This window comes from Homo sapiens, chromosome 20, assembly GCF_000001405.40.
Source record: "Homo sapiens chromosome 20, GRCh38.p14 Primary Assembly".
In the NCBI taxonomy this organism is placed as follows: domain Eukaryota; kingdom Metazoa; phylum Chordata; class Mammalia; order Primates; family Hominidae; genus Homo; species Homo sapiens.
In genome coordinates, this window is record NC_000020.11 from 61,917,495 (window position 1) to 61,942,451 (window position 24,957).

The 24,957-nt window shown below is 57.3% G+C and overlaps 1 protein-coding gene across 5 annotated transcripts in view, besides 6 other annotated features; it reads left to right on the forward strand.

The window, feature by feature from the left end:
* Window positions 1–23,123, forward strand: part of CDH4 (cadherin 4) — a 688,357-nt gene extending 665,234 nt beyond the window's left edge. For all 5 annotated transcript variants that reach the window (NM_001794.5, XM_047439812.1, XM_047439813.1 and 2 more), the window contains 7 exons: window positions 5,957–6,210; window positions 6,840–6,982; window positions 10,696–10,929; window positions 12,115–12,348; window positions 15,491–15,630; window positions 16,562–16,726; window positions 19,243–23,123. In NM_001794.5, coding sequence (NP_001785.2) covers window positions 5,957–6,210; window positions 6,840–6,982; window positions 10,696–10,929; window positions 12,115–12,348; window positions 15,491–15,630; window positions 16,562–16,726; window positions 19,243–19,449 — 1,377 coding nt within the window. In that variant the 3' untranslated portion in view covers window positions 19,450–23,123. The remainder of the gene's footprint in view (window positions 1–5,956; window positions 6,211–6,839; window positions 6,983–10,695; window positions 10,930–12,114; window positions 12,349–15,490; window positions 15,631–16,561; window positions 16,727–19,242) is intronic.
* Window positions 1,099–1,393: an enhancer, noted in NCBI's record as "tiled region #9437; K562 Activating non-DNase unmatched - State 20:ReprD". NCBI's record gives its function as "activates a minimal TATA promoter and a strong SV40 promoter by Sharpr-MPRA in K562 cells {active_cell/tissue: K562}" and the evidence as "EXISTENCE:reporter gene assay evidence [ECO:0000049][PMID:27701403]".
* Window positions 8,805–10,004: an enhancer, noted in NCBI's record as "P300/CBP strongly-dependent group 1 enhancer chr20:60501357-60502556 (GRCh37/hg19 assembly coordinates)". NCBI's record gives its function as "activates an origin of replication core promoter dependent on BRD2, BRD4, P300/CBP, MED14 and CDK7 cofactors, with strong dependence on P300/CBP, by STARR-seq in HCT116 cells {active_cell/tissue: HCT116}" and the evidence as "EXISTENCE:reporter gene assay evidence [ECO:0000049][PMID:35650434]".
* Window positions 8,805–10,362: a biological region, named in NCBI's record as "P300/CBP strongly-dependent group 1 enhancer GRCh37_chr20:60501357-60502556".
* Window positions 9,855–10,362: an enhancer, noted in NCBI's record as "H3K27ac-H3K4me1 hESC enhancer chr20:60502407-60502914 (GRCh37/hg19 assembly coordinates)". NCBI's record gives its function as "activates a minimal SCP1, AML or CMV promoter by ChIP-STARR-seq in primed H9 embryonic stem cells {active_cell/tissue: H9 hESC(primed)}" and the evidence as "EXISTENCE:reporter gene assay evidence [ECO:0000049][PMID:30033119]".
* Window positions 15,143–15,874: an enhancer, noted in NCBI's record as "H3K27ac-H3K4me1 hESC enhancer chr20:60507695-60508426 (GRCh37/hg19 assembly coordinates)". NCBI's record gives its function as "activates a minimal SCP1, AML or CMV promoter by ChIP-STARR-seq in naive H9 embryonic stem cells {active_cell/tissue: H9 hESC(naive)}" and the evidence as "EXISTENCE:reporter gene assay evidence [ECO:0000049][PMID:30033119]".
* Window positions 16,606–17,336: an enhancer, noted in NCBI's record as "H3K27ac-H3K4me1 hESC enhancer chr20:60509158-60509888 (GRCh37/hg19 assembly coordinates)". NCBI's record gives its function as "activates a minimal SCP1, AML or CMV promoter by ChIP-STARR-seq in naive H9 embryonic stem cells {active_cell/tissue: H9 hESC(naive)}" and the evidence as "EXISTENCE:reporter gene assay evidence [ECO:0000049][PMID:30033119]".
* Window positions 23,124–24,957: the final 1,834 nt, after the last annotated feature.

Sequence of the window (24,957 nt, forward strand, 5' to 3'; positions counted from 1 at the left end):
GTGGGAATTCCAGGGAGAGCAGGTCAGTGATGGGGTCAGTTCAGGCAACTCCTCCCCAAGACAGGGGCGCAGAGTGAGACTTTGAATGGAAGCTCCTGAGCCTCCCATCGGAGGGGAGCAGGGCAGACGTCCTGGTGTGTCCCCACCTGGTCCTGCCCACTCCGCCCAGCCGGTGCTGGAGCTGCTGCTCAGGCACACGCCCAGCTGCTCACCTCTGAGTGAAGGGTCATGGCCACGTGTGGGCGGCAGCCATGCTGAGCCTCAGCGAGTATATCCAGCCACCCTAATCGAAACTGCTGGAGCAAATTACCTATTGATTTCTCCATTACAAATGTGTTTTATTTTATCTTCCTGTGGGCTTTTATTGGCCATAATCATCTTTCTGGAAGGCCTCCTTGCTCAGGCTGGTGACACGATTTTTTAACGCATGACATGCAGCATTATTCCATGTCCCCGGGAACATGAGCCAATAAATATGGGAGAAAGACCACTTCCCTCAGGGGCTTGTTCATAGCGCTACCACGACGTGATGAAACAGTCTAGCCACATGAGTGGCCCCGTCCCAGCCAGCTGCTGGAGGGCCTGGGGGGGCAGCTGCAGGCGTTGGCATGGACAGCTCTGGGGGGGACCCCAACACGATGTGGGTGCAGGCAGGTGCTGGGAGCTTGGAGGCATCTGGAGTCCAGAGACAGAGGGACCAAGGCCAGACTTGGGGGTACCTGAGACCCCTGGTAGAACCTTTCAGAGGAGTGTGCTGGGTTATTCTGGATCAGGCGTCCCTTCAGGCTTGCAGTCAGCTTGGGCTGTGGAAGGTTCTGCAGGGTGACAGCTGCAGGTGTGAGGCCCCTGTGTGGCACACACAACCCCAAGATGGGCCTGGGCAGTGGTGGTGAACAAGGGGGTGCCCACTCCCTATATCCCCCAGGCACCTATGGGGCACAGATGAACCACACTGGCGCTGTGCTGGACGCTGGGGAGGCGGAGGTACAGGGCACAGCCCCTGCCCCAGGGGTGGCAGAGTCAGGGTGGGGGTCATGAACCAACGCAGTGAGAGGTGACAGCGTGCATCAGGGAGCCACGAGGCATCTCACTCAGGACTCAGGGAGGCTAGCAGGGACCACCCCTTCCTTCAGAGGGACAAGGAGACCACCCCTGGGGAGGATGAGGGCTCACCTAAGCGTGGTGTCGCGGTGATTGCGTGGAAGCGTGGTATTGCAGTGACTGCGTGTCACCCCCAGGGGCAGTGCAGGGACCGTGGGGACCCAGGACCAGAACTGTGATCTCTGCCACTCCCTGCAGACCCTCCTGGAGGCAGTCATGGGCTTCCAGGAGCCACCGTCTCAGTTTTCCTTCCATGCCCATCCAATACTATTATTTAGGCAATTTTATTTTTTGAGACGAGGTCTTACTCTGTTGCCCAGGCTGAAGTGCAGTGGTACGATCACTGCTCACTGCAGCCTTGACCTCCCAGGCTCAAGCAGTCTTCCCACTTCAGCCTCCTGGGTAGCTGGGACTACAGGTGTGTGCTACCACGCTCAACTAATTTCTTTTTGTTTTGTAGAGACAGCATCTCACTATGTTGACCAGGCTGCTCTCGAACTCCTAGGCTCAAGTGATCCTCCTGCCTCAGCTTTTCAAAGTGTTGGGATTACAGGCATGAGCCACCGCACCTGGCCTTATTGATGTGATTTTTAAATTTCTTCTTTTTGTACTGAAATATCTTATTCAGTAGCAGTGCCGAGAAGTCCTGAGTGTGACATACCAGATTATGTGGTTGTTCCTGCTTGGAAAGATCAGGCCCTGAGAGGCTGTGGTGGCCCCGGAGATGGGGTGGAGTTGGATCTGTTCAGACTCAGGTGCTTCACTGCCGGCCCCAAGCATGGGGAGTGGGGTTCAAAACAGCACCTTGTGGGTGGAACACCCCAGGTTCCTTCCTGTCTCACCTGAGGCCCTCAGCTTATGAAGCTCCAAAGCCACAAACTGGCCTTTTCCGCTCCACTGTAGACAGTGCCTGGCCTGCCTGCCTGCAGGTGGTTCACGAGGGGTGGGAACGTGGGGACATCACATCAGTGGCGGGACATGGTGCCCTCATGCTTCTTGGGGAAAGCTGATTGATTCCTCCAGCAGATAAGTTCCTCTCTAAGTGGAAATGTCTTACACTGTTTATCATGAAAGTTTCCAGGCATTCCTAGAAGTAGGAGGAACCTGCATAATTGCGTGGAAGCGCTGTGTCATGATGATTGCGTGGAAGCATGTCATGGTTGCGTGGAAGCGTGGTGTCGCGGTGATTGCATGGAAGCGTGTTGTGATTGTGTGGAAGTGTGTCGTGATTGCATGGAAGCGTGTGATTGTGTGGAAGCATGGTGTCGCGGTGATTGCATGGAAGCTTGTGATTGTGTGGAAGCATGGTATCGTGATTATGTGGAAGCGTGGTGTCACGGTGATTGCGTGGAAGCGTGTTGTGATTGTGTGGAAGCGTGGTATCGCGGTGATTGCATGGAAGTGTGGTGTCACAGTGATTGCGTGGAAGCGTGTCGTGATTGTGTGGAAGCATGGTATCGTGATTGTGTGGAAGCGTGGTGTCACGGTGATTGCGTGGAAGCATGTTGTGATTGGAAGCGTGTCACGGTGATTGCGTGGAAGCGTGGTTTTGTGATTGCATGGAAGCATGGCGTCACAGTGACTGCGTGGAAGCGTGGTGTCATGGTGACTGCGTGGAAGCATGGTGTCACGGTGATTGCATGGAAGCGTGGTGTCACAGTGATTGCATGGAAGCGTGTCATGATTGTGTGGAAGCATGGTATCGTGATTGTGTGGAAGCGTGGTGTGATTGTGTGGAAGCGTGGTGTCATAGTGATTGCATGGAAGCGTGTCGTGATTGGAAGCGTGGTGTCGCGGTGATTGTGTGGAAGTGTGGTGTGATTGCGTGGAAGCGTGTCTTGGTGATTGCATGGAAATGTGTGATTGCATGGAAGCGCAGTGTCACGGTGATTGTGTGGAAGCGTGTCATGGTGATTATGTGGAAGTGTGGTGTCGTGATGATTGCATGGAAGCACCGTGTCATGGTGATTGTGTGGAAATGTGGTGTGATTGCGTGGAAGCGTGGTGTCACAGTGATTGCATGGAAGTGTGGTGTCACAGTGATTGCATGGAAGCGTGGTGTCACAGTGACTGCATGGAAGCGTGGTGTCGTGATGATTGCATGGAAGCGTGGTGTCACGGTGATTGCATGGAAGCGTGGTGTGGTGATTGCATGGAAGCATGGTGTCACAGTAATTGCATGGAAGCGTGGTATCATGGTGATTGCGTGGAAGCGTGGTGTCGTGATTGCATGGAAACGTGGTGTGATTGCATGGAAGCATGGTGTCACAGTAATTGCATGGAAGTGTGGTGTCATGGTGATTGCATGGAAGCGTGGTGTCGTGGTGATTGCATGGAAGCATGGTGTCACAGTAATTGCATGGAAGCATGTCATGGTGATTGCGTGGAAGTGTGGTGTCGTGATTGCATGGAAGCGTTGTGTCACAGTAATTGCATGGAAGCGTGTCATGGTGATTGCGTGGAAGCGTGGTGTCGTGATTGCATGGAAGCATTGTGTCACAGTAATTGCATGGAAGCGTGGTGTCACGGTGATTGTGTGGAAGCGTGGTGTCATGATTGCATGGAAGCGTGGTGTCACAGTGATTGCATGGAAGCGTGGTGTCGTGATTGCATGGAAGCACTGTGTCACAGTAATTGCATGGAAGCATGGTGTCACGGTGATTGCGTGGAAGCGTGGTGTCACAGTGATTGCATGGAAGCGTGGTGTCATGGTGATTGCATGGAAGCATGGTGTTGTGTAAATCTCACAGTGATAGGCACGCTGCTGCGTGGCAATCTGCACTTTTTGCAGGAGTACGTTTTTTTAATTACCAGACCTCATGATCCTCCGCACCTAAATCTGTCAGAATGCATCACCCTCAAAAGCACATTTTGGGCAGGGTGCAGTGGCCCACGCCTGTCATCCCAGCACTTTGGGAGGCCGAGGCAGGCGGATCACCTGAGGTCAGAAGTTCAAGACCAGCCTGGTCAACATAGTGAAACCTCGTCTCTACTAAAAATATAAAAATTAGCCAGGCATGGTGGCGGGCACCTGTAATCCCAGCTACTGGGGAGGCTGAGGCAGGAGAATCACTTGAAGCCAGGAGGCAGAGGTTGCAGTGAGCCGAGATCATGCCACTGCACTCCAGCCTGGCAATGGAGGAAGACTCTGTCAAAAAAAAAAAAAAAAAAAAATCAAAGCTCTATGATAAGAAATAGAGAGCAAACTCACAAACTCACACTCCCAGCTGTGACCCTGACCCCATTCCTTCCCTCTGATAACGATGATCATTTTTATTAGTTTTTGGTTTATCCTCACGATGTTTCTTTCTGCAAATATGAGCAAATACATATACAAATCATATTTTTCTCTCTCTTTTGCACAAAAGGTGCACACTATGTGGGTTGCTTTTTTGCCCACCAGTAGATCCTGGAAAGCTCTCCTCTTCAGTACACAGAGGGTGTTCTCTTTCCTCTTTACGGCTGCAAGTGTCTCCCCATGCAGATGTACTGCAGGCTGTGCAGCCCACCATTGCTGATGGATGTTTGGGTCATTTCCAGCATATTGTCTCGACAGATACTACGCAATGAATACTCTTATGCATATGTTACTTTGCACGTATCTAAGCAGAATATTTTAATGCAATTGAGACACAATGTGTTGTGTTTTTTTCCAGTGAAACTGTTGCAAGCTTTGCCATTGAACGTCTCAGGGCCCCAAGCTTTTTCCATGTAACTTCCCTCCCTCCCCAAAATGTGTAGGAAAGGCTTGAGCGAAGCTTTTCTGATAATACAGCATCACTGCAGAACCGTAGCTCTAGCGTTTATCAGCCAGGGTCCTGGTGCACCAGAAGGGCACCAAAGAATTGTGTGAATGCAGGGGCCAAGTGCAGCAGTGATGGGAACTGCAGACCTGGCATGGTTCTGTCCGGGGCTGCGGTTACAAGTCACCACAAACCAGGTGGGTTACAACAATAGAACTGTCTTCTGTTCCAGCTCTGCGAGTCAGAGACATAAAATCAAGGTGCCGGCAGGAACGGTCTCGCTTAGGAGGTTGTAGAGGAGAACCCACTGCCTGCCTCTCTCCCGTTTCTTGGCCTGTAGCTGCCTCACTCCAGACTGCACCTCTGTCGCCACATGGCTCCTCCCTGCACCTGTGTGTCTCAAATATCCCTCTCCCTTTCTCTCTGTTTTGAAATTTTGGAGAGCCTTGCTCTGTCACCCAGGCTAGAGTGCAATGGTGTGATCACAGTGCACCACAGCCTCAAACTCCTGGGCTCAAGCGATCCTCCCACCTTAGCGTCCTGAAGCCCTGGGATTACAGGCGTGCATGACCGCACCCAGCCCTGCCTGTCTGTTATGAGGGCCTCTGTCTTTAACTTACATGTACAAAGACGCTATTTCCAAATAAGGGCTCATTCACAGGTCCCAGGTGGACATGTCTTTTGGGGGCCACCATCTGACCCTCCGCAACTGGTGAGGCCCCGCTGGCCAACAACGTCAGGAGCCTTCCCCACACTAGGCTCAAAGGAGGAAGGTAGGGACGGGGTTACCAGGCCAGGAAGAGGGGCCGCCCAGCGGGGGCTGCAGCCCCCCCAGGAGGAGCCCAGCTTCTGCCTCAGCCCAGCATGGGACAGGGGCTGGGAGGCCTAGACCTCCTCCCTCTCTCCTCCCATCGGCCAAACCCAGCAGGAAGCCAGAAGATAAGGGTGCCTGGGAGATGGGACCCTTTGGGGCCTCCTGGCTAAAGAGCAGAGCAGAGAAGAGCTGGACATGGCTCAGGGAGGGGTGGAGACCAACCTTCCCATGTGTCCCCCCATGCCCACTCCCACGGGAGCTGTGCCAGGTCACTCCCAGCCCTGATCTGTTGTTCCAGGCAGTCGACTACGAGCTCAACAGAGCTTTCATGCTGACAGTGATGGTGTCCAACCAGGCGCCCCTGGCCAGCGGAATCCAGATGTCCTTCCAGTCCACGGCAGGGGTGACCATCTCCATCATGGACATCAACGAGGCTCCCTACTTCCCCTCAAACCACAAGCTGATCCGCCTGGAGGAGGGCGTGCCCCCCGGCACCGTGCTGACCACGTTTTCAGCTGTGGACCCTGACCGGTTCATGCAGCAGGCTGTGAGGTGGGTGCACAGGACATGCCTCGTCCCTGCCTGCAGCTTCCCAGGTTCCATACAGAAGGGTCCAGAAATACCCCATGAAACCCACAGCCCAGAATTCCCCCAGATGGGTGGTCGGGGGCATCTCCAACCTAAGGCGTCCTTCCAGGAGGGAGCCGCAGCCCCTTAGTCCCAGATAGCCAGATGCAGCCCCTGATCAATCGTGAGTGTTGTGACCGGTGCTTACTCATTCAGCACTGTCTAGACACAGGCCGGCCCGATCCTGGCCACACTCTCATAGCTATAAGACTCAGCAACCTCCTGCCCTCTCTGCTCCTCAGCGTCCTTGTCCGTTCGATGGGGACAATGAGGGCGTCTGCCCACAGGGTCCTTGTGAGTTGAGACCACCCACTACTGGATGAGCTTGGTGCCCGTAGCCACTGCGTGGCCTGTCCTGTTGTGGGGCCGGGGGGGAGGGTGCCAGTCCAACGTGGAGGGGAAGCCCTAGAGGAGGACAAGGCCTGGGGGGCTCCAAGGAGACAGAGACACTGGCCCAGGCCCAGGCCCTGGAGGTGTGGCCAAGGAGGCCTGGGATCCAGGGCAGCCCCGCCCACCCCCAGCCTTACCTCCCCCTGCACTTGTGGTCTCCGCAGATACTCAAAGCTGTCAGACCCAGCGAGCTGGCTGCACATCAATGCCACCAACGGCCAGATCACCACGGCGGCAGTGCTGGACCGTGAGTCCCTCTACACCAAAAACAACGTCTACGAGGCCACCTTCCTGGCAGCTGACAATGGTGCGGCCCACCCCAGGGAGGCAGCCGTCTCGGTGGCCTTCCCGTGTCCTGGGTTCTGTGGGCGAGGGAGGGTGCTGGCCAGGGAGACCCCGAGAGGCCAGCAGGCATCCAGAGGGTCACCCAGAGGGGCTGAGGGGGCATCTGTGCAGACACCGGTGATCAGGGCTGCGTCATCTCAGGGCCCCCAGGCCATGCTCCCCCTCCACCCACTCCCATGTCAGTCATTCATTCTGCCCCCTCCCCAGCATTCACTTGCTTGTTCGAAGGTGTGCCTGGTCTTTCCCCCCAACGTCACTCACCCACAGCCTCCAGGGGCATCAGGGCACTGGTCATCCCAGGCTTGGCTTTGCTGCCCTCTGCAACCTGAAATGCATCTCAGTTTTGCTGCCTGTAAACTGAGGCACTGGAATCAGGTCCACAGTTTTCAAATGCTTTCAGCCGGCAGCCCTTGCCACAGACCCCATCCTGCGGGGAAGGCCCAGCCCCACTGGTCAGCAGCCCCGGGGGTGCCGCCCTCGTGTCTCTGACCACCCACGGCACAGACCCCTGTGGCCCTTAGTCACAGCAGGAGGCATGAGACCCTCCAGGGCCCTGGGAGTGCAGAGGGCGGTGGCAAGGTCCCGGGGCAGGCGGCACAGCAGACGACCTCAGGAGCCTGGACGGGAGGGCGAGGATGGGCTGGGCAGAGACGGCAGGAAGAAGGTTTGAGAGCACGTGGGGCTTTCTGAGGGACATGGGCCAGCATCTCAAGAAGCAGCCACCCCTTCCTGGACCTGCAGTAACCCTGCGAACTGGCCGAGCCCCCCACGGGTCGCACGCTCTCAGAGGCATGGAGGCAGGGCGGGTGGGAGCAGGGATTCTGGAACCGAAGATCAGTCCAGTACCACCGCTTACCAGTGGGAAAAGACGTGACCGCTCTGTGCCTCAGTTTCCTCCTCTGCCAAGTCGGGGGAGTCTTAGTACCCCTGAGAATCAAACGAGTCGGAGTCACCGGAACACTGAGGAAGGGCCTGGCTCAGAGCAGCATGGGCTCCTGTTTGCTGCGGCCGTGATGACTGCCCGGGCTGCTGTTTGCCGAGTACCGGCCGAGTGCCTGCCGCTGCTCATCAGTGGGTGGAACACAGTGACGCCCTGCTGTGGCTTGGCTGACAGCCCGAGTGTGTCGGCTGGAACCTGGGTCAGTGAATACTGATGGAGGAAACTGCAGCACAATTGAGGCTTTTTTTCTCTCACGTCAAAGAAGGCTGGAGGCAGGCAGCCCAGGGGGAGATCCGAGACCTGGGGCATCCTGACTGTGCCACGGCATGGCCCAGAATGGCTGCTGGAGCTCCAGCCGTCACAGCCATGTTCTGGCAAACAGAAGGCCTTGCAGGGAGGGCACGGGCACACGTCTGCTACTAAGGACTTTCAGAAAGCCCCACGCAAGTCCTCCACCCACAGCTCACAAAGCCCAGAACTTACTGATGCAGCCACCCCCAGCTGCAAGGGGCGCTGGGAAATGGGGTCTTCTAGATGGACAGTGATGATCCCAGACAAAATGTAGGACTCCGATTATTTTATTAAAAGGAAACAGAAAATGGATATTGGGGATGACTCAGCAGCGTCTGCCCCAAGGAGACCGGAGAGAAACCAGCCACGCAGATGATTCAGGCAGCAAGAAGAGCTGGGAGAAAACAAAACAGGCGGCTGGGAGGCAGTGACCAGGGGCTCCGCTCTGAGGAGCTGCCCTTGGGACCAAGAGCTGTGGAACCAGAGGAGCAAGCACGGGAAGGAGGGTCACAGAGTTAGGAAACGGTGTGTGCAAAGGCCCTGAGGCGGGGCTGTGTCTGGTCCGCTCTTGGAACGGCTGTGCGTGAAGCCTCATGAACAAGGGTAGCCATTGTGCAAACGCTCGTCCCATAGCAGGTGAAGACAGGACGTGGACACCCCCCTGCCAGCCTCCCCCAGCCAGCGCTGCCTCCCCTGCCAGGGTCCACAGAGCCCGGGCTGTGTAGCTGTGCAGCTGTGCAGCTGCCTGTGAGCCCAGGGCTCTGGTCAGGGGAAGCGTCTCCCCTTGAGGGTCCCCTGCCGCAGCTCAAGCCCTGAGGTTAAATTAGAAAGTGATTGTGAGCCCGGGCCAGGCCCCGTGGCTCACACCTGTAATCCCAACACTTTGGGAGGCCGAGGCAGGTGGATCATGAGGTCAGGAGTTCAAGACCAGCCTGGCCAACATGGTGAAACCCCGTCTTTACTAAAAAAATACAAAAATTAGCTAGGCATGGTGGTGCACGCCTGTAATCCCAGCTATTCGGGAGGCTGAGGCAGGAGAATCACTTGAACCTGGGAGGCAGAGGTTGCAGTGAGCCAAGATCGCCCCATTGAACTCAAGCCTGGGCAATAGAGTGAGACTCCATCTCAAAAAAGAAAAAAAAGAAAGAAAGTGATTGTGAGGCCGCAGCTGGAACATCGGAGCGTCCATCGCACGTGGCAGACGCCGTGTGAGGGAGCCGGGGTGCACAGGCTGGAGCAGGAGCCCCCCGGTTAACAGAACCTGTCTGTGCTTCTCCGATCACGTGCCGTGCCATCAGCTACATCTCAAAGCAGTTTTCAAAGGTAGCGCCGCGCTGCGTCACCTTAAATGTGTTTTGACGCAGCTTCCGGAAGATTAAAGAGACATCCGTGGGATACATTTTTACATGGTTCGCCTGCCTCAGTCAAAACACGTGGTTGTTAACGTCAGGTCAGGAGCTGCCATCAGGAGCAAAGCTACAGTCAGAACATGCCGCCACCACCGCCGCCTCCAAGCCTGGAGAGCAGACAGGGCATCTCTCTGTCCCCAGATTCCAGCCACCTGGCCTGCATCCTGGGCTGAGGCAAGGACTGAGCATGTGAAGACCCCAGGGACAGGGATGGCCCCTGAGGAGCTCTGGGGGCTCGGCAGAGCACCTCCGTTCATGCTGAAGCCAGAGGTCATCGGGTCCTCCAAGGAGACCTCCTGCCGGGCCAGGAGGGAGCTTCCATCAAAGCTCATCTGGAGCGGCCGCGCCTGCTTTTCTCACAGACACTTCCAAAAGCAGCAGTTCTTCCACGCGATCATGCGTCTGGGCTCAGGGCTTCCAGCACCCTGGGGCTCTGCTGGGCAGGGCCAGCAAAACTCAGGGAGGCAAGGAAAGGTTTTGCCCTAAGAAGTCCCAGATGGGGGCAAGATGTGGTGGGCGGATCCCAGCCCTCAGGGGCCAGTGCAGAGCCCAGCACCCGCAGAACCCCTCCCTGGCTCCCCAGTGGGAGTGAGTCCCCGGTGCGTGGCTGTGACCTCCGTGGCTGTGAGTTTCCACGTGAATGCCACACCCCGCTGTGTGCGTGTGTGCAGGTGTGGGTGTGGCCGTGTGCTCTGCCGTGTCTGTTGAGGTGCCGTGCGCAGTGGCTGTGTGCGTGTGTGCAGCTGCGGGTGTGGGTGTGGCCGTGTGCTTTGCCGTGTCTGTTGAGGTGCCGTACGCAGTGGTGTGGCTGCCCATGGCGTGTGGCAGGGTGTCGGTCAGGAGCCATGGCTGGACTGTGGGTCAGTCCCTGTGCAGCTGTGTTGGGAGATGGCCGGCCGTGTCCGGCTGGGGGTCTGCACATGTGTCCCTGTGTATGTTGCACGTGGTTGTTTGTGTGCGTGTCCTGTGTGGAGCTGTGGGTTGGTCATGGAGTACCAGGAGTGGCCCGTGTGGTGACCTGTGTCTGTTCCACAGGGATACCCCCGGCCAGCGGCACCGGGACCCTCCAGATCTATCTCATTGACATCAACGACAACGCCCCTGAGCTGCTGCCCAAGGAGGCGCAGATCTGCGAGAAGCCCAACCTGAACGCCATCAACATCACGGCGGCCGACGCTGACGTCGACCCCAACATCGGCCCCTACGTCTTCGAGCTGCCCTTTGTCCCGGCGGCCGTGCGGAAGAACTGGACCATCACCCGCCTGAACGGTGAGCCCGCCTTAGGCCACGGGGAGGGTCAGACTAGCCTGGGGTGCAGGCCCCTGGGAGACCCAGCTGGCCTTGGAAGAGTGGGCACCAGAGGTGGGTGACAGTCCTCCAACAGGACTGTCCCACCAAGGCTGGGGACACTGGCCACGCTTCAGCTGCTCAGCCTCCTTCACCTGGCCTTGAGGAGGCCACCAAGTCATTCCCAATTTCTTGCTGCTTTAATGAGGCCAGCCGTGAACATCCTTGCAGCTCTGCCCATGTACATCCATGACAACTTCCTGTGCCGGTTGTCAGTTGACTGGACCCTGACTGATATGTTTCCTTAGAATACTTCCCTGGATGCAGATCTGTGGTATAAAAGGATATCAAAATTCTCAAGTTTTGGCAGTACTGTGAAAATGTGCTCTAAACATGTCTACTTCCATCGGGAGAGTGCCTGTTTGTTTCCTCAAACCCCACCAACACTGAACATTATTGTTTTAAAATAATATTTTATTCTGCCACCTTTAGGCCAAAGTCATTATTTCCATTTGTATATCCTGATTACCAGTGGAAATTTTTTATATATATTTATTGGCCATTTTTGTTTCTTCTGTGAATTGTCTGTTCAATGACTTTGCCTATGTTTTCTTTGGGGAGTTTCTTTTTATTGATTTGGTAAAACTCTTTATATATTCAGGAAATTATTTCTTCATCCTACATGTTGCAATTGCTTTTTGGTTGTGTCTCCAATGTCTTTTTTTTTTTGAGACTGTTGCCCAGGCAGAAGTGCAGTGGCACAATCTCAGCTCTGCAACTCCACCTCCCAGGTTCAAGCAATTCTCCCACCTCAGGCTCCCAAGTAGCTGAGATCACAGGCTTGCACCACACGCCCGGCTAATTTTTGTATTTTTTACTAGAGACAGGGTTTTGCCATGTTGGCCAGGCTGGTCGTGAACTCCTGACTTCAAGTGATCTGCCCACCTCAGCCTCCCAAAGTGCTGGGATTACAAGCGTGAGCCACCACACCCAACCTCCAATGTCTTTTAACTTAATGATGTAGCACAGGTGTATGTATGTATGTGTGGTAACCAGGCAGCCATTTCAGATTTCCATGCCATCGGACTTTTAGTCTTTTCCTTTGGACGTCTTGCTTGGAAGCGAGGGCCGGGCTCTGGTTGAATGTTTACTGTTGCTTTGCACCAGGTGACTATGCCCAACTCAGCTTGCGCATCCTGTACCTGGAGGCCGGGATGTATGACGTCCCCATCATCGTCACAGACTCTGGAAACCCTCCCCTGTCCAACACGTCCATCATCAAAGTCAAGGTGTGCCCATGTGATGACAACGGGGACTGCACCACCATTGGCGCAGTGGCAGCGGCTGGTCTGGGCACCGGTGCCATCGTGGCCATCCTCATCTGCATCCTCATCCTGCTGAGTGAGTGTGGCTGAGCACCAGGGTGGGCAGGGGCATTGTGGGTATGAGTGCCCTGTCCCAGGCATGGTGGGCAGAGGGGGGCCTGGATTTGCCCCTCAGCCCTCATCTCTCAGCCTCATCTGTCAGGAGCCTTTCAGAAATGCAGCTGAACTGGTCCATATGACAATGGGAAATTGGAGCCTCCCGTTACTCTCAAGTCTGGAGGTGCAGGCCGGCCCAGGTGTCTCCCATGGCCTGGCCCCTTTCCACGGCTCCACTCTGCCTCCCAGAGCCCCTGTGTCCTGAAGCTGTTGCCCTCCAGGACCTGTGACGCCTGTGGGCAGCTCCCAGGTGGACTTAGCAGAGGGAAGGTCAGCCCTGCCTGTTAGCGTCCCCATCCAAAGTCCCAGGACACTCTCTGATTGGACTGGCTTGGGTCACATGCACACCTTGGAGCCAATCACCAGCCAAGCAATGGAGTGTTCTCACTGGCTCTGCCCAGATCACATGCTCTAGTAGTTTCTTGAGTTTCCCACAACCACTGTGGGTTCCCAACAGGTCTGAGGGCTGGCGGGGGGGCGGTGCCAGGGGAGGTGCTTGAAAATGACCCCAGAGGTCCCTCTTCCCATCATCCCTCATGGACAGTCACCGTGGTCTGTGATACCCCAGGGATCCCAGTGGGAGGCAGGGCGGGGAAGGGTTGGGCTACCACCTCCCCAGTTCACACCCAAACCACAGGGTCCCCCACCACGTCCAGAACAGGCGGCAGGCCCCTCCTGCAGACCTGGCCTGCGGCTGACTTGAGACCCCAGGGACCAACCTGAGCCCTGTCCAAAGGATGTCTGAGTTATGAGGACTCTGCTTTTTTCCCCATTTCCAGACCTATCACCCCTTGAAAAGCCGGTTTTCATTTCTGAGGCTTGTTTTGAAAGCCGTTCAGTGTCGTGGGCTTCTTTGTATGATCAGGAGTGGAAAGAGCCCCACAGAGGTTGGGAGGTGTCTCTGTAGCAAAGGTGGAGGCATTCTCACCGATGTCCCCTGCTCTGGAAACACCGGGGGCCAGGCCCCAGCCAGAGCACCCTCTGTGGGCAGGGCTGTGAGACCCAATTCAGCTGAGTGCCTGGCCCGTGCAGGAGACCTGGGCCACTCTCGAGGGCAGCCGCAGTGGAGGGCATCCGCAGTGGGGCCGGGGCCACGGTCAACAGCAGATCCGCCTGCTGCCCGGCTTCTGCCCAGTCGTGGGCACCTCAGCCCTGGTGGGGTGCATGGGGGGCACCCGGAGTGGCCTCCCCTCCTCCACACTCCTCCTCTCAACCCTCGCTCATCTTGTCTGCCTGGATGAGCCTGGGATGCCAGCTGTGAGAGTGGAGCTGACCTCTTCAAAGGTTCTTGGCCTTGTGGCTTCCGTCGAGCCAAGACTAGGCCCGGGCTCCAGGCTCCAGGTTCTCACGGAGCTGCACCTGCAGTGCGTGGCTCCTCCCTCCGCCTGCACTTCCCTCTCCACGATCTGGGCCAGGTCAGGAAGCGTCCCCCGGCTGTCACCTCACCCTCTGCAGGCAGGGCGATGCCGCCAATACCCACAGAGCTCCTCCCAAGCCTCCACTCCGCTTCGGAATCCTCCTCACGACATCAGGCAGCCACAGCCAATTAATCGGGTTGGCAAAAAACAGCCCTCCTGACTGGGGGGTCGCCGCCCCTCTCGCCTCCGGGCTCACCCTCTGCGGTACATAAGAGTGCACCTGTGATTCTGGGCCTCAGTCGTTACATCTGTGACATGGGAGGTGACGGGAGGCTTCAGGAGGATGCAGTGGAGTGGTTTGTGCAGGCATTTACTGGGGGCGTGGGCTGCATTACCTGCTCCTGGAGCTTTGCAGATGGGTGCGCCAGGCTTTTCCTGCAGCAGAGGCAGCCAGGGGTCCAGAGTGAGCAAGGCTGTTTAGGGGAGCCAGGGCTGGACACGGACCTCGGAAGGCAGGAAGAATCCAGTTCAGCTTGGGGGAGAGGGTCCCTCCATCCACCCCACAAGGGGACTTTACCTCTCTTCAATTTCCACATGCACCTGAACTTCTGAGCCTGTACCCCAATTCCTTTGAGTGGTGGAAAGAGCCCCTCTGAGTGACCCCCTCGGTACTGGGTGGGGCTGCCCTTCTGTCCAGCGACGCCCTGGACTGACCCCACCCCAGGGGCCCTCAGGAAGCAGGATCCCTGGATCCCCTCTCTGGGCCCCTATCCTCCCAGGGCAGAGCCTCTTTCAATATGGGGGAGTCCATCTCCCTCTCTCAGTGATTCCTACCAAGACACTGTGTGCCTAAAACCTCACTTCCACCTCCTCTGACAAAGCCATCTCCCTCCTGCTGCTCAGAAGAGGGACTCAGAAAGACTTGTGGGTGGGCCCCTCAGCCCCCCATGTCCTCCCGTCCCCAGGCGGTGAGAGGCACCCTGAGCTGGCTGCCTTCTCAAAAGGGGAGTGCAAGAGGAGGGCGAGCTTGTAAATCAATGACTCAAAATGTAGCCCAGTGCCCAGGCAGTGAGCTGGGGAGAGGGCCTGAGCCAGTGCGGCTGTGCCTTGGAAACTCATGCACACGCACACAGGCATGCATGCACGCACAGACACATGGGCACACATGTACTATGGACATGAACACATGCACTCACGCCCCATGAGCATACACAGACACACGAAGTACACATGGACACATGCACACACAGACCTGTGCAGGCTTGTGTGTGCATCTACACACATGAACACACGAGCACACACACAGATCTACACGCTCACACCCAGGCACACGCATGTGCAAGCCTTCATACACACGTCCTCCTGCAGATACACGTATGCATGCTTACACAGACGCATGAAGCACCTACATCCACGACTCCTGCGGATACACGTATGCATGCTTACACAGACATGCATGAAGCACCTACATCCACGAATGCACACGCACGTGGGCCGCACATGTGCACAGATGTGTCCTTGCACATCCAGGCCTGCATGTGCAGAGACATGCGCGTGTGCAGTACAGGTGTGCATGCACACATGGGCACAGTCATGCTTGTGTGCCACCTGCATGTACATGCCCACATAGACACATGGCAAACACAGAGGCACACATGCGCACACCCGCAGCACACCCTGCTCACGGGCAGCCCTCCCCCACAGCCATGGTCCTGCTGTTTGTCATGTGGATGAAGCGGCGAGAGAAGGAGCGCCACACGAAGCAGCTGCTCATTGACCCCGAGGACGACGTCCGCGACAACATCCTCAAGTATGACGAGGAAGGCGGTGGCGAGGAGGACCAGGTGAGACTGCGGCCCGCCCCCGCCTCCCCACGCGAGGCCGGCTCTCACGTGTACTAGTGTCTCAGCAGGGATTGCCCTGGGGTTTAACAGTAAGACATTTCAACCTTTTCACCAGTGAAGGTGCCAGGCAGGGGCGCACGGTTTCCTAGCCTGGGCTGAGCTGTGTACACTGCACCTGCATCCCCCACGGGGGATCCTGGGACCCCTCCCATCCTCGCCTTCTTCCCTCCCATCACCAGCCCCAGCCCAGTGCTGCCCTGTGCCCTGGAGGGGAGGGGGCTCCGGGTTGGCCAAGCACACCGATGCCCACTCGCGGATGCTGCTGTGTGCAGAGGGCTGTCGACTGACCAGGGGCAGTGCACCAGGCGCCCGGGAGGGTAGACTGTGAGAGCTGGTGGTTGGAATCTGAGTCTACCCTTGGCCTTTCAGGGAATCGGGGCAAGTCAAGTCCTTAAACCCGTCTAAAGCTCAGACCCCTCCCTGCCCCTCCCACAACACGACCATAACGAACGTGAGGCATGTGCCTTGCGGAGGCCCAGCTCCTGGCCACCTTCCCCGCCCCTCCCGCAACACGACCATAACGAATGTGAGGCATGTGCCTTGCGGAGGCCCAGCTCCTGGCCCCCTGAGCACTCGGGGCACGTGGTTGGTGAGCAGCGTGGTGGTGAGGTCACTCGGGGAGAGCCCCAGGCCATGGAACACAGCCAAGAACAGCCCCTATCCCTGCCCAAGGGATTGGGGTAAAGGGCAAGGAGGTGGGGCATTGTGGAGGGGCACAGCAGGGGACAGCATGGTTCTGTGGGATGCTTGGAGACCAGGCCACAGGGCAGCAGGTGCATCTGTGGCCCAGGTGACAGAAAAGGATGCAGGGTGGAAGGGGGGCTGGCGGATTCTTCTGATGCCCCTGACTCCTCCCGGCTCCCTCCCCCAGGACTACGACCTCAGCCAGCTGCAGCAGCCGGAAGCCATGGGGCACGTGCCAAGCAAAGCCCCTGGCGTGCGTCGCGTGGATGAGCGGCCGGTGGGCGCTGAGCCCCAGTACCCGATCAGGCCCATGGTGCCGCACCCAGGCGACATCGGTGACTTCATCAATGAGGTGTGTGCCTCTCGGCAGTGGGGGGCCCGGGCAAGGTGTCTCCTCTAAAAATTAAATTCTGGTAACACACACAGAAGCCATCTCCACAGTGCCGGCGGCTGCCGTGGGTGGGAGGCAGCTCAGACCCGGGTTCCAGGCCCTGCTCTGCCCCTCCAGCGGGGTGGCCTGGGCAAATCACCTCCCTCAGCAGGCCCTCTTTCCAAGGATGAGGATTCCTCCCTGTAGGCTAGGCGAAGGATCAACACACAGGGCCGGGTGCACAGCAGGGGCTTCGTAAGAATTCGGGTTTGCAGCAGAGGCGCCAGTAGCAAGCACAGGCCTCAGGAGGAGAATCAGCGGGGCGACGGCGGGGAAGGCGCACTTGGTGCTATGAGCCCTCCAAGTATTAACCTTACACAGAGCCCACTGCCGCTGTGAATGGCCTTCCCGGGCTCGGCTCACCCAGATGCTCAGAGAGGCAGAGGCCCAAGCCTGGTCTCAGGGCCCAGGCCAACTTGCCCCCCCTCCCCACCCCACCCCACACCCCAAACATCAGGACACAGCAGGTGGGAGCCACACAGAGGTGGCTGCCTTCCAGGGCTGCCGCCTGACCACCTGCCCAACCTGACACTTGAGGGTTGGAGGGGACTTGACTTGACCAACAAGCAGCACACCCCAGCCTTCCATCTTCCCCTTTGCAAGAAACATTTGAAACATCGCTTACAATGTCGCCAGGGCAACACTCAGTTTCCACTTCCAACGCGCAGCTCCCTGTCTTCGTTCCCGTCTTCCATCTTCCTTTGCGGTGAAGAGAACAGAGGAGCAAGTCAAACAGGGCAGACTCCTCCCAGGGAGCGTCCTCCGGGCAGTGACTCTGAGGCTCCAGACTGGCCTCGCCTGTGGCTCTGCAGGGATCACGGTGTCCTCCGTGCTGCTTCTAGTCGGCGTGAGCCCCTGTGGTTTCATCACCTGCTCGCCGATGCCCACTGCATTTTAAAGGAGGTTTAGCAACACTTAGACCTCAGCCTAGGTCAGAATCTCACTTTAAAGGAATTGATTTAAACAGAAGATAACCCAGGCAGTGATTCAACAGAAAGACAGAAAGGTTTCCCCAAAGCAGATGGTGTTCTGGGCCACAGATGAAATTCCTACAACTGCCCACGCAGAAGCTGCTCTGACAACATGACGCTTACCGTCTATGACATAATAAAAACGTAAAGATCCCCAAACGTTTGCCCTGCCCAGTCTATAATTAATTTAGAGCCCACTGTTTGTTAGCCAGGCGCGGTGGCTCAGGCCTGTCATCCCAGCACTTTGGGAGGCCAAGGCAGGTGGATCACCTGAGGTCAGGAGTTCAAGACCAGACTGGCCAACATGGTGAAACCCCGTCTCTATTAAAAATACAAAAATTAGCCGGCGTGGTGGCCTGTAATCCCAACACTTTGGGAGGCCATGGCAGGTGGATCACCTGAGGTCAGGAGTTCAAGACCAGACTGGCCAACATGGTGAGACCCCCGTCTCTACTAAAAATACAAAAATTAGCTGGGCATGGTGGCGGGCACCTGTAATCCCACTACTTGGGAGGCTGAGACAGGAGAATCGCTTGAACGTGGGAGGCAGAGGTTACAGTGAGCCAAGGTCGCACCACTGTACTCCAGCCTGCAAGACAGAGCAAAACTCCATTTCAGAAAAATCTAAAAATAAATAAATAAAGCCCACTGTTAGATAGGTCTTAGGAGAAATTAAAAATGAAAACAACAAACCAGTCCATACTGAATGACACTGAGTACCCTCTCCCAGGGTCACAGGAGGAGCAGGTGCTGGCATGGAGGTGGCACCCGCGGGCACTGAGGAGAGGACGGGGCTCCAGCAACACCCACGGCACTGCCAAAGCTTGTCCGTGGGAGTGCCACACTCATAACTGCCAGGTTCTGACTTCTGTCCACCCTAGGTCCACTTTCCCTCCAGACAATGGTCAGCTAGACTGGAGAACCATCTGCCTGCCCCCTTAGGGAGGAGCTGAGCTTCAGCCACATGGCCCAGCCCTCACCTCCCCCACACCACCCCTTGCCCTCTCCCACACCCCCCTGCCCTTCCCCTATAAACCCTCACAGCCCCCCACCCTCTCCCACACCTCCACCTTCCCCCACACCCCTTCCCCACACCCCCTCCCCTTCCCCCACACCCCCTCCCCCACACCCCCTCCCCCCTCTCCCACACCCCCCCCCCCATCTGCCCTTGGGTTGGGAGGAGCTGAACTCCAGCCACGGGCCCTGCCCAACCCTCCGCCTCCCCTGCCCACAGACTGCTGCTGGATTTGAGTTTGCCCCTTCAACACTCCCACGCTCCATCTTCACAAATGCCCTTTTCTACTCGGAAATGCCCTTCAGTTAAATGCAGAGAGCCCTTATTGGACACCTACTTTATGCAACGTCCTACCTCCCTACCTCTTCTTCTGGGCCTCGCTTTCCGTTCCATCTGATCCCGGGGCTGAGACAACGCGTCCTGCACCCTAACTCTGTGTCTGTGACCCCCAGGGACTCCGCGCTGCTGACAACGACCCCACGGCACCCCCCTATGACTCCCTGCTGGTCTTCGACTACGAGGGGAGCGGCTCCACCGCAGGCTCCGTCAGCTCCCTGAACTCATCCAGTTCCGGGGACCAAGACTACGATTACCTCAACGACTGGGGGCCCAGATTCAAGAAGCTGGCGGACATGTATGGAGGTGGTGAAGAGGATTGACTGACCTCGCATCTTCGGACCGAAGTGAGAGCCGTGCTCGGACGCCGGAGGAGCAGGACTGAGCAGAGGCGGCCGGTCTTCCCGACTCCCTGCGGCTGTGTCCTTAGTGCTGTTAGGAGGCCCCCCAATCCCCACGTTGAGCTGTCTAGCATGAGCACCCACCCCCACAGCGCCCTGCACCCGGCCGCTGCCCAGCACCGCGCTGGCTGGCACTGAAGGACAGCAAGAGGCACTCTGTCTTCACTTGAATTTCCTAGAACAGAAGCACTGTTTTTAAAAAAAAAAAAAAAAAAAGAAGAAAGAAAGAAAAAAAAAAAAAAAAGAAAGTGCCTTTTGGTACATGTATCAGATTCCCTCAAACTCAGGAGTGTCTAAAGCAGACAGACCGTCCCCACCTTCCCATCCCGAGCGGCCTCCAACCCCAGCTAGTCCCAGCTCTGAAGGCATCATTCAGAAATGGGGGAGACTGTGTCTGTCTTTCTTACTTTTTTTTTGGTCTTTTATTAAGAAAAAGAAAGTGGGTGACTTGTTTGAAAACAGAGTGGGGTTCAAATCCCAGCAGCCTTTGCTGTACACAGCTGGGGGTCTCTTGAGCCTCTTGGGAGTCAAGGCCAGCTGGGAGGCTTAGCCCTTCAGCCCCAGCAGAAGGCCCTGGGGCTGGTGGGGCTCAGAATACCCCTACCTTGTGGCTGCTCCCCACCCCTCCCGGATGCTGTGAGGAGCTCAGGCAGGGGCCTGGAGGGGAACAGGGGTCATCCTGAAGGGGCTCCACCCCCAGTCAACCCAGGCCTCCCTCAGGGACACCTGTCACCCTGAGTGCCACCAGGTCCCCTCTGCCTTTGGTCCAGAAGAGTGAGTTGTCCAAACCAGCCAGCATCTGGCTCCAGCCCTCCAACCCTGGCGACCAGACCCCATGGGGTGCCATCAACGGCCCCGCGACAGGCATCAATTCAAACCCCAGGACACTCTCGACAGCTCCAACCATCCGGAGGGCTGTGCAGATGGCAGGAACCAAGGACCCTCCCTGGCAGCTGAAGAGGGCAGTTACGGTTGGGCGTGGTGACCAGAACACACCCAGCAGCCTGCGAAGCCTCCCCGTCCCCAGCCTGTGCTCCTGATTCCCGCCAGACGCTTGTGAGCCTGTGTGGGTGGCAGGAGGCCCCGTCTTGCCGTGCCTACCTGTCGCACAGATGCCTCTGCACGCTGCAGACGGTGCCTCTCCTCTCCTATGGACCCTCGTCGGGGGCAGGCAGCGGCCGGGTCCAAACTTGCTGCTGTCCTCGAGGCTGGCACTGCTATCTCCAGGGCTGGGTTGACTCAAGCCAGACAGGGGGAAGGAATTGGTTCTGCAGGACAGTGAGAGGGTCTGTGTCCCGGCACCCCTGGGACAGCGCTCGGCTGCCTGTGCTCACTGCATGAGAAAACTCAGAGGGTGCATTCTCCCTCTGGCATGGCTGTGTCTGGGCGCCTTGGGCTGCGGCAGGGGGCAGGCCCCACGTGGGGAAGCCTCGTGCTTGGTCAGCTTTCTGTCTCTCCCAGGCCAGTGACAACTGGCTTCCCGAGGAAGGAGGTGAGGTACCAGGGACCCTGGGCAGGACCTGGTGTCGGGCAGGGCGGTGCCAGCACTGGGGAAGGACAGGGAGCCCTCCCGGAGCCCCACCCTGCACCTGCCACTGGGGTCAGGGAGTGTCTCGGGGTGCCTTTGGGGGCAGCATGAGCTCCACCAGGGGCCCCGGCCCCCACCTCAGCCTATGGCCCTTCCCCATGGCTAAGGTCATGCCTTTTCTGAACAGCTTTGGCCTTGAGTGCACACATCTGTGCCAGGCTCACGGCATGTTCCCGTTGGATGTCAGGGTCCTTGTCCAAACCAAACTCACAGCTGCCCCTGTGCAGCCTTCAGAGTTGAGCTGGGGTCTCAGTCTCCAACCTGTCCTTTCTGACCCTCCCATGGCTGCCCAGGGAGGGCGGGGTTCACTGTGCCACGTGCTGGGTGCCCCCCTCTGCAGACAGCCAGTCCAGGAGATGGACCAACAGAGGTCAAGGGGCAGCTGGCCAGGCCGCACCGGGGTCCCCGAGTTCTGAGCTGTGCTATGCAAACAAGAATGCTCCTGTGTGGGGGGGCATGGCCGTTGGAGGTATAGCTGGGCGGGTAGTGGAAGGACTGGAAATCTCTGTTGTTGTTTGGGGAAGTCCATGCTTCAGTCCTTCGGAGTATGCGTGGATTGTTCGAAGTGTGACTATGGCCCGGGAGCCAGGGCAGCATGAACTCCTTTCTCTGAAATTTCGAGGCCTCCTTGGGTTCCCTGAACTCCGGGCTGATGTTCCCAGGACCCAGCACCAGGAGACCCCAGTCCCGCCAGCAGCCGCCGCTACCCAGGAGGGCTGGGCGACATTGGCCGCCTCCCACTAGCTCCCCCTCCTCGCCCACAGCCTCTTGTCACTGCCAAGCCCCCGTTCCTTTTGCCCAAATCACGCAGGCGGAAGCTGCAGTGCCAGCTGGAGGGATGTTCATAGGGCTTCCTGTGCCCATCCCTGCTCCAAACAGCTGGACAGCTTCCCCTCTACCCCCACCCTGGTGAGCCCCTGGGGGCCAGAGAAAGATGGGGTTCCTGCACCTTCCCAGCTCCACCTCTGAACTTGAGTTAGCGTTAGCTAAGCATACAATCAGTGTCGAACGTCTCTCTTCCTTAAGCTTGTAGATACGACTGCCTATAATCAGGGGACTCCCACTGGAGGCCGGGAGGCCAATGCTGGCCAGGTGCGAGGGCATGGTTTGGTTCCTTTAGGGAATTTTTGTTTTGCAAACAGGAGAAACCTGTGCTGCAGGTTGGAGTGGCAGGAACGACTGGCCTTGGTCAGCAGGCAGCCCCCAGCCTAGGGCCACAGTCCTCTTCAGGGCCTGGGCAGCCCCAATTTCTGGCCCAGCAGGTTTCTCTTTGTAGTGTCTTTCAGCACATCCAAAATGCTAGGCCTCCTGCCACCAACGTGTCAGAGCAATGTCCAACTGTCAGGCTCTCAGAGATGCCTCAGTTTCCCTAGCATGAGCACCAGCCGACACACACAGTCCACTGAGATGATAATTCTGTTCTCTCCAAAGCAAAAAGCTGGGCGAGGGGTAGTCTCAATTTCTGTCAGTGCTCAAAGGAATAACACCAAAAGAATCAACACAGAATCTCCCAGACACACGTGACCCAGCTCGTGGCGCCGTGGGTCCGTAGGAGGGACAGTACCTCACAACAGGCCCAGCGGGGGACCACCTCTCTGTACAATTGGAATGCGTTTTACTTTTCTTTTCTCTCCTTTTTTCATTCCGATTTTTTTTGCATGTTTCTTTTTGAAATGGGCAAAATGTGTAGCAGCCTGCATGAGCACAGTTGTTTTGGGGAAAGATACTGGAGTATGATGTACTCACACCTGCAAATCTGAGCATCGCGAGGTTAAACGTTCCACCTTTTTTTGTAATCGTCAACAGCACAACTATTTTGTATTGTTGTTTGTATCATTTTGTACCAAAAAAAAAAAGGAAAAAAAAAGGGAAGAGAGTTGATGTTTTCAGTGTGTTTCCAGTGCCAGACAGTCTTGGTCCTGAACTCAGTAGACCCTTGCGGAGCGGTTGTGCGCGGGCAGGCGGGGCGCGCTGCTCCAGAGAATGAATAAAGTCCCCCTTTTCCGTAGTCGGCATCGTCCTGGCTTGATTTTCTTCCAAGCATTCGAGAAACAGATGGTGCTCCGGGACAGCAGGTGGGTGCACACGGGGGAGGTGGCGGCCACCATGAGCTCCATGCATGCTGAACACACTTCTTGAACACCTGTGCAGCTCAAGGCGCTGTCCTAGGCTGCGGGAAAACAGAAAGAACAAAGCCAGGCCCGCTCCTCACACCTGTGGGCCCACATGCCATCTGTCTCAATGTTTTAAAGGGTTTAGAAGGTATCCATGAAACTAACAAGCAAAATCACATTCCCCTCCTACCTTGGCATATACACCTCCCGGACTCCATGGAATGCCCGGGCCAATTTGGAATTATCAGACTCCTTGGAGTGTGGTGCCAAAAGTGGCAGCAAGGAAGGAGCTGGCCTGGGCCTGTGGCTCTTCCCACCTCCGTCTCTTCCCACCTCCGGCTTTGCCCAGTGCCCCAGGGGGCCTGCGTGTAGGCATTTGGATGCCCCAGGCTTCACCTAAGCCCCCAACAAACAGTATCCCTTGGGCCTCGGGACAGGTCCACCTGGTGAAAATGCAGGAGAGGCCTAAGCAGACCAGAGAGGGGGCTCAAGGCACTTTGTGAGGAGTTTCAGGGTCCTGGTGCCCAGAGGTGTCTGGAGGGGCGAGCACATGGCCCCCAGCCCTGTAGACTCCTCCCCCTGTGGTGGGGGCACAGTCAAATGGGCTGAAGTGCCAGCAAGCGGACACGTGCACACATGTATATGCTTGCATACACATGAGCACACATGCATACCCACGTGTATATGCACATGCATGCAATGCACGTGTGCACACACACACATTCGTTCACATACTTGCAAACATAGGCAGCACATGCACTGAGACAGGCCTCTGGCCACCGACATGTTTGGATGCAAACCCTCCGCAGCCACAGCCGACATCAGCAGATAAAACCACCAAGCCCCGGAGCCCCACTCACGGATGCCAGGTGTTGCATGCATCACTCCCTCCCCACTTCATTTCCCCAGTCTCAGGTGGAGGCTCTCCTGCAGTGGTGACACCAGCTGGGCCTCTGAAGGTGCCTCTCCCACCCTCTGCCCTCCGTGCCTCCTGTCCTCTCCACGCTTCCTGCTTCCCTCTTTCCTGTCACTGCCTTATCCTAGGCGGGGGGCATGAGGCGGCTCAAGTCCCTGGGCCGGGCCTCCTGGGATGGCCAGGCAGGAGGCTGGTCACCACTGCAGCCAGAGGTGCCCTGCTGGAGGCCTGGGTGCCAGGGGACGGTGGCACACCATCTCAGTGGCCCCGCAGGGTCGGCACAGGCCATGCAGCAGTGCTGTACCCCTCAGTGGGGCTCACCTTGGCAGTGAGCTGGGCCTTCTGCAGGCATGTGGTCCAGCATTCCCCAGGCCCTTCCAGCTGAGGCCATCACCGCTGGTCCCCAAAGGGCAGCTCTGGGGGCCATGTTCAGGCCTAGTCCTCTGTAGGGGAGGGGACGTGAGCTCTGGAGGCTTCCCCAGCGCAATGCCCTGTGGACCAGGCTCCTACACAGAGGCTCACGGGCACTCCATGCCCATCCACCGTGCCCAGGGAGCCCCCTCGGATGGAGAGGACAGGCACAGACAATGCCACCTTTCCCAAGGCCTTACTCTGGGTCCCACAGAACCTGCCGTGGAAAGGCTATGGTCACCCCCACTTTACAGATGAGGAAACTGAGGCTCAGAGAGGGGCAGTCGCCCACTGCAAGCGGGGTTTGAACTCAGGCCTCCCTGTGTCCCTGGGGGCCTCCCAGGACACAGAACCAGCAGAATAGCCCAGGCATCTCCCTCACCCCACAGAGCTCTGGCCTC